This window comes from Homo sapiens, chromosome 13, assembly GCF_000001405.40.
Source record: "Homo sapiens chromosome 13, GRCh38.p14 Primary Assembly".
Lineage (NCBI taxonomy): Eukaryota > Metazoa > Chordata > Mammalia > Primates > Hominidae > Homo > Homo sapiens.
Genome location: NC_000013.11, coordinates 33,721,029 through 33,728,980, shown reverse-complemented (window position 1 = coordinate 33,728,980; position 7,952 = coordinate 33,721,029). Strand labels below are relative to the sequence as shown.

Genomic DNA, 7,952 nt, shown 5'->3' with positions numbered 1-7,952 from the left:
TTTACAAGTACAAACAGGTGCTCAGGGTTCAAAATGACAGAGTTCACCGCAGTTTCCCAATAGCACATTATTCGTTTTCAGTTCCTGTTTCTAGCACTGAAATGGCACAGCCTTTAGCATGATTTAAACTGCCTGCTTAGAACCTAGCTGAATAATATTTGACTTTCAGCACTGCTGAAAGGATACTTAAAGCACAGACCTGGCATCTGTGTCATCTTCTGCAAATCAAGGTTGATTAATAACAAAATCACCTCGCCCTGGCATCCTGCCTTTCATCTGAGCAAGACTGAAGCTATTCCTGGAAAAAATCCAGCTTTCTTTTGCTACAGTCCTGAGACATGCCAACTGACACAGCAGGGGCAGGAAGGAAGGTCAAAGTTAGCATTTGAGTTTGGGCTGTGGGGAGGGAGGAGACAAGATGGCAACTGGTCCTTAAGAAACCCAGTGTGAAGGTTCTGTACGGTCAGGGCCCAGGGCTGACATCATGGGTGGGGCCACCATCATGCTTTCTCTGTCCAGCCAAGCTGGCACCCTTTTTATGGGCGAGCCTTCCTTCTGGAAATTGTTGATGTCATTAGTGGGTGTGGTTTCAGGCACTTTTCCCGCCTTTCTCCTGAAAACAAGTAGGTTATTCTTCTACATGAGAGAGTTCAATCTGTGCTCCATGGAAACTTGCCATGGCTCTAAGGACTTTTGAAAATGTGGAGTTTAGACTACGGGAATTTTTGTAGAGGAATTTTTTTCCTTCACAATTTACATTAAGAGGAAAAATATTCTGTCACTACTTTCTCCTAATTTTCACCTCACTGTGTCTTACAGCATTGCTGCCTACCTAAGAACACTGCAAGAATGTGCTAGAAAGTAGTAAAACCCATGCAAAGAAGATGCTTTGTGTTGTACTTGACATATATTGGACTCACTTGTATTGCAGTGCTTTCAACTAAATGTTTTCCTTCATGGCTCTTATCATATTTGTATCCATCTGGCCATTTGTGTAGTTTTTAATATTTTTCTGCCCCACCAATCTGTAAGTCCTGTGCCAGCAGGGCCCGTACCTATCAAGGTCACACTGTACAGTTCTAACAGTGATTGTGGTTTGTGGCATGTGATTATGTATGTGCATTTCATATGGGTATATGAAAACTCTATCCTTCAACCCCCAACCCCTCCACAGGCTCAGAACTTTACAACTTGGTTAAGAGTATGAAAAAATATTTAAATCTGGAAAGTTCAATCTTTCAAAAACATTGAAAACTTTTTTAAAAATTGCCTTTAGATACCGAAATTTAAAAAGTTTAAACCCACCTTTTGACCAAGAAAGAGGAGGTTGGCTTTTCTTGAGCAGACTTACTGATGATCTTGATATAACTAGAAGCGATCTGAGCATTCCAAAGGATGTTATAGATAAATTTACTATGAGGCAATAGAGAATTTAAGGCTGGCTACCATCTCCTTGATTTGCATGGTTTTACTTTCAGAACTCCAGCCAGTTGTTGAGTCAGATATCTGTATTATAGTTATAGTTAAATCACCACTTCATCCAAGAGTGGGTGGCATGTTCCTCCTCAAAATAGAAGAAGCAAACATCAAACTCTATCAAAATGCACAAGTGAACTACTTTACTTAAATATAGTTCGGATGGTTTACAGAATTAGAGATTTCAGGCAATGGAAAATCATACTATAAAACTTAGTAAGACAGAGGATAACATTGTTTCTGTTAGAAGTCTGCTATGTTCTAAAAACTTGCAAATGGCAAACTTACTGCTGTGTCCTCATGGAACCTTTTATATGTATATTCTCATTTACTCCTCAGGTCAACTGTTTAAGATGGGGACTATTAATCATATATTTTCAAGGGAAGAGCCAGGTCTCAGAGAAGTGAAATAACTTAGACTATGGAGCTAGTGTGAAAAGCTCTAATGGAAACACATAATGGCTTAACAGGGGTGATTATATTGACTTTAATTCCTTTCTGTCATTTTGTCTTCTTGTTTATCACATATATAACACTTCAGCGTATAAATAAGAAAAAAAAACCTAGTTCTGAAAATTGCCTCTAAAAGCATAATGTTGAAGATTTGGGAAAATAAAACATAGTAGTTAACGTAAAATAGGCACTTGGAAGCAAGAGGTTGCAATTCTAACTCTAAAACGTTTTTCCTATGTGACACTGTCAGAACCAAGTTAGGACAGGGCTGTGTTATTACATCCATTTTGTGGTTATCCAACTTCGGTGATTTTTTTTTTTTTTTTTGACAGAGTCTCGCTCTGTCACCCAGGCTGGAACGCAGTGGTGCAATCTCAGCTCACTGCAACCTCCACCTCCCAGGTTCAAGTTATGTTACCATCTATTAGGGACTAAATTGTGTCCCCTCTAAAATTCCATGTGTTGAAGCACTAACCCTAGGGTGACCATATATGGACATAAGCTTTTCAAAGTAATTAAGGTTAAATGAAATCATAAGGGTGGGGTCCTAATCTGATAAGACTGGTGCCCTTATAAGAAGAAGAGACACCAGCGTTCTCTCTGTCTCTCCATGCTTACAGAAAAAAGACCATGTAAGGACATAGCAAGATGGTGACCATTTGCAACCAGAAACCAACCCTACTGGCACCTGGATGTTGGATTTCTATCCTCCAGAACCTGTAGAAAATAAACTTCTGTCCTGTTCTTTTCTTTCTTTCTTTCTTTCTTTCTTTCTTTCTTTCTTTCTTTTTTTTTTAGAGACAGGGTCTCACTCTGTCACCAGGCTGAAGTGCAATGGCGCGACCTTGGTTCACTGCAATCTCCACCTCCCGAGTTTAAGCGATTCTCCTGCCTCAGCCTCCCAAGTAGCTGGGATTACAGGTGTAAGCCACCACGCCTGGCTAATTTTTTTGTATTATTAGTAGACACAGGGTTTCACCATGTCGGCCAGGCTGGTCTCGAACTCCTGACCTCAGGTGATCCACCTGCCTTGACCTCCCAAATTACTGGGATTACAGGTGTGAGCCACCTTGCCCGGCCTAAACTTTTGTTCTTTAAGCCTCCCAGTCTGGGGTATTTTGCTGTGGCAGCCCAAGCAGACTAATACACAACCCAATTAATAAACACTAATAGTGTCTAAAATTATTCCACCATTCTAGAAAATTATTATTTTTTCATTATCCACAGTCATTGCTTTGTCCTGTGACAAAAAAGCCATGTAGCTGGAAGCCATCTGGGTGGCAGTACAGAATTAAGAGCCACTAGAAATTAAGTCCATACTCTCCCTGGAACTCAAATTCTACCAAAAAATAAATTTTAAGTGAAAGTCTAATGGAAGGAAGAAGAACATTTGGAGCAAGTGTGAAATCAACATTCTGCTCCAGGTAGGCACCATTTGATGGGGAGTGATCCTGAGTGCAGGGTTGGGGAACGGGGTGGAACTTTCCTTTGTGCACAGAACTGGGACTAGAAAACAGTGATTAGGAAAGCAGTCAAGTGACTGATAAGTACACAAATGGAATAGCCCTTGGGAGTTTTTGAGATTGCGTTTGTTTGAAGAAAAGAAGAGCATTTTCTTCATATTGATATGACATTGTATTTGCCAACTGGTATTTACTAGAAGCCCTCCAAGTTCATGATTCACACCTGAACATTCCACATTCTTTAAAATTGTAGTGCACCCTTCATAACTATATATTTAGTATTTTTATAAATTAGATTACAATTTAATTGGAGAATACAATATCAGAAAAATTATCCAAAACTTAGAAATATTGCCTAATCAAATGTGCTACTTGTCTGGCCTTCCACAAGAAAGCACATGAGGAACTAAGACATAATTTTTCCTTCTTATTTGTAAAGTCTAATTCAAAGTTATTAGCTCAGCACAGTAAATATACGTGCTAAAGACTGGGTGAACAATGGCAAATAAACTTTGAAGACCAAATCCTCTTTTACAACTAAAAGTAACATTACTGAGCTTTCTGCAGGATTTTCTGGGTAAGTTTTTCTGCATGGCCAGCCCCAGCAAGGCCCCGAATGCCTGGTTTGCTACTTTCTAATCCTGTAACTTCTCTTCCCATAATAATGTGTAGCTTGTAAGGCCTTAGCTCAATTTTCCAGATGATTTCAGAGACAAAGAATTGCTGATTTGTTACACTAATCTTGACATTTCAAATTACAACTGGAAATAATCTTCCTTAATTAGTCATGTTCTTTCTGTTGAAAATATCAGACATTTGACATATTTGTTTAGCAAATATGTCGATTTTCTGGTCTTTATGGTCTTTCAGTCCCATGTTGATATTCACATATTAAATTTTTAGCTTGCTCCACAGCAAAGATGCAAATATATATGTGCATATGTATATTATATATGTACACATATAGTATATGAATCTACAACCATGCTTGGGGAATACAAGGTATAATATGAATATTATATATATATTCATATATATCTATATATATTTATATATGTGAATCTACAACTATACTTGGGGAAAACAAAGACTTTATCCAGGCTCACCCAGAATGGTTATGAGAAAGTGAAACATTCTTTTCTTCCCTTAATAGGCAAATACATAGTTTAAAAGCTACCTCCCCAAATATGGGAGAATCTTTAGAGAAAGTGTTAAATCACAATAGCATTAAATGTACATTTACTATCAAGTCTTTTGCAATAAAAGCTGACATTAACTTTTTCTCTACAATATTTACTATAGCACTGTGCTTACCCAGGCTTTTATTAATATATGTTTATTTCTGCATTTCCATTTCTCAGCTACCTTTTATATTTTAAAAATTACAGAATTTATAGAAGAAAATTGTAGGCTGATAACAAACAAAAAGGTTTTTCGAAATGGCTAGCATTTGCTCCCAGCAGGGAAAGTAAAGGAATAGTTGCTGTATCCTGAGCCACCCATCCCGGCCCAAGTCTTTGTCCTGCTGAAGTGGTAAATTCTCCCAGAAACGCAACACAAGGTGGTGCTGTTGTATTTATCCTAAACCAGCTGCCAGCCTGGCCACTTAGGCTGTCGGTTTGATCTGAAAGTGGTAGGTGTGTACCAAAGGCATGGGTTTTGCATATGTAGATGTTTACAGTGTAGTCCTCCTTTCAGATAAGAAAAGATAAATAGAAGAAGGAGGAAGAGAGTAAGTTTCTCCACACATGGAAGCTTCTGGAGAAACTGTCTTAAAAAAAAAGAAAGTGCATGGGTTCCTTTTGTTACTAAATTATAGGAGCATGGAAAGTTAGGGCTAGAAGAGATAAAACATTATCTAGCCCATCTTCCTATCTTCAGAGAGGATTTCATTTATAAATTATCAGCCAGTTAAACTTTTTCTTTTGGTTTTAAAATTTTCCAGGGAGGGAGATGCCACTTGCTCCCCCAGCAAATCAATACTCCCTAGTGTTGGGAAATTGTTGTGGACATATGTGCACTTCCTCTTGTTCTGAATCCAGAGGGTATGGGAAGGATTTGATCAGCAGATGTGCCTAGTGAATGAGAAGCACACAAAAAAAAAATGAATTACAAGTCAGGGCTCTGGATTCCTCTCCCTCACTTGCTTAGCTGGGACAAGGTGGGCCTCAGATTTTGCATCTGGAAAACAAAGAGATTGGACTAACATCAGTGGGTTTCCACAAATGGCTGGATCTCAAAATCACCGGGGAAGCTTTTTAAAAAAATACAGATTCCAGGGCCTTGCCTATAAATTTGCTCAGTCAGAAAATCTAGGGCAGGGCCCAGAAATTGCACTTAAAAAAAAATCCAAAAGAACTGTTTTCCTTGGAAAACATTTTTCTTGTCTGAAGACATGGAAATTAGCTAAAAATGTGTAGGCAGGCAGCCCAGCACAGATCTAATGACTGGTGCATAGGTACCACTAGATTAAATAACTCTTAAATCCCATCTGATTTTATGATTTTCCAGGTATCCTTAAAACAAAAGCCCTTGAAAAATAGAAGTGAATTATCCCAGATCTAAAGAATTTCCTCTTGAATCATATTCCCAAGCCTTTGAGTAATCTGCAGTATGGATTTACAGCAAGATGTTTTCTAAATTTTTCAAGCACATGAAATTGGGAAGTCCAGGAATATTATTATAGTAAAGAAAATCCAATAAAGTCCTTGTGTTCAGTCCAATGCCTACACGCTATTCTATTTTCTGGTTACTGTAACTATGAATTAGTTGACAGTTATGAAAATAGTATTTGGACTCTTTCACTTTCATTTTTATAAAACTGGAAAGTTAAAAAACTAGTCAAGTACTTGGCCCATGTATAAATAGATAAGTCACATACTGGCAAATTGAGCTGTATAAAAGTTACTTACACAGACAAAAATGTCTCTAAAGTCTCTATGTAAAACGTTGGCTTTCTGACTCTGAGACTGTCTAGTATCAATGTGAAATTCAGTAACAATGCAATTCAGATTCTTATACCTCAAATGTCTCATTTGAAAGAATCAGATAATTGAAGTATCATTTGTTTATTCTCGTTTATAGTATCAAGGTAAATAATTCTGCCTTCCATTTCCCCTTGCTAATGTAATGTGACCTCAATGTTACATGTTACTAAGTAAATCAATTAGGAGATTTGGCCTGTGTATGTGACTCTTGCAAATGGGTAATTACACCATCAAATAGAAACTTATACACTCTTTGCAAGCCAGTCTTGAAGTCACTTCCAAATAGTTGGTTCTCATTATTTGTACTTTAAGAGCCATTTACAGGTCTAATTAAATTGTTTCTCAGGAATATAAAGATCAATGTTTCCAACCTCATGAATTGAATATATAAAAGAATGCATGAGGCCCAAATTAGCATTTCGTTTATTAAAATAAGTCAGTGTTGGAGCTGAAATCCATTAAATGACTTTAAGTAATCTGTCTGTTAAAGCTTTCAAACCACCTCTCAAAATCTGGCCCAGCTACCACCATTTATCAGTTACAAATTTCCATATTCCTCTGCTGCTCAATCATGCTGTACTAAATTATCTCTGAGATCATGTCTTGTGATTCTCATACAGTAATAACATCTGCATTTCCTGGATTTTCCATGAGCTGTGTCATCCTTTCAAGATTGTTCAAGAACATGTTTGTTCCTTTTATCAGAAGGACAGCAGCACTGCAGATCTTTTCCTACCAAGAGTCCCAAGCTCCACTGAATAAAAATAGCCTTGTGTCCTTTGGAATGCTCTGAACCACTTGGGGAAAAAGAATGTCTGTCATCGAATCACTATCATTTGTAATGTCCTCTCCAAAAGAAAGCCAAGGGGGAAAAATGCTAGAACTATTTGTGACCTCATGAAATACAAAAGAAAATTTACTTAGAACAATACAGCTTTTCTTTATTGTATAGTCCCCACTTCTTTGAACCACACCAATTTTTGGTACCAAACTTTGTTCCTCTTGTGTACAGGCTCTGAGCATGAGGAAATCAGTTGATGTCTCAGTAGTTGGTGCTTTGATAAGCAGATAACCTGTTTTGAACAAGGTTTATCTGCTTTCACTGCCATTACTACTGCTGTCTCCCAAAGACTCAGGATGCCTTCTCCTTGGAGACAGAAAACTTCATTCCTTATTTACCCACAACCCCTATTCAGTGTTGTTATTGAACTGTAGACTACAATGAAAGATTGCAATTCTTCAGTCGGCTCTGTTTTAGTTTTGTCCTTAGTCAAGGTACTGAACTTCTCTGAACTTGAGATACCTCATCTATAAAATGGAAACTGCATGCAAGTGTTGCTTGCGTGGAATTAAGGATTCCAAAAGATAAAGCAATCTTTGCTATGGACTAAATGTTTTTATCCTCCCCGCCGACAAATTCATATGTGGAAATCCTAAGCCCTAAGGCGATGGTGTTAGGAGATGGGGCCTTTGGGAAGTAATTAGGTCGTGAGAGTGGAGCTCTCCTAGTGGGATTGGCACCCTTATAAAAGGGATCCAGGAGAGCTCCCTCATCCTCATTCCACCATGTAAA

The 7,952-nt window shown here is 38.0% G+C and overlaps 1 annotated feature.

Annotated features, from left to right (window-relative positions):
- Positions 4,867-5,036: a silencer, noted in NCBI's record as "silent region_5256". NCBI's record gives its function as "represses an Ori minimal core promoter by ATAC-STARR-seq in GM12878 lymphoblastoid cells {active_cell/tissue: GM12878}" and the evidence as "EXISTENCE:reporter gene assay evidence [ECO:0000049][PMID:35858748]".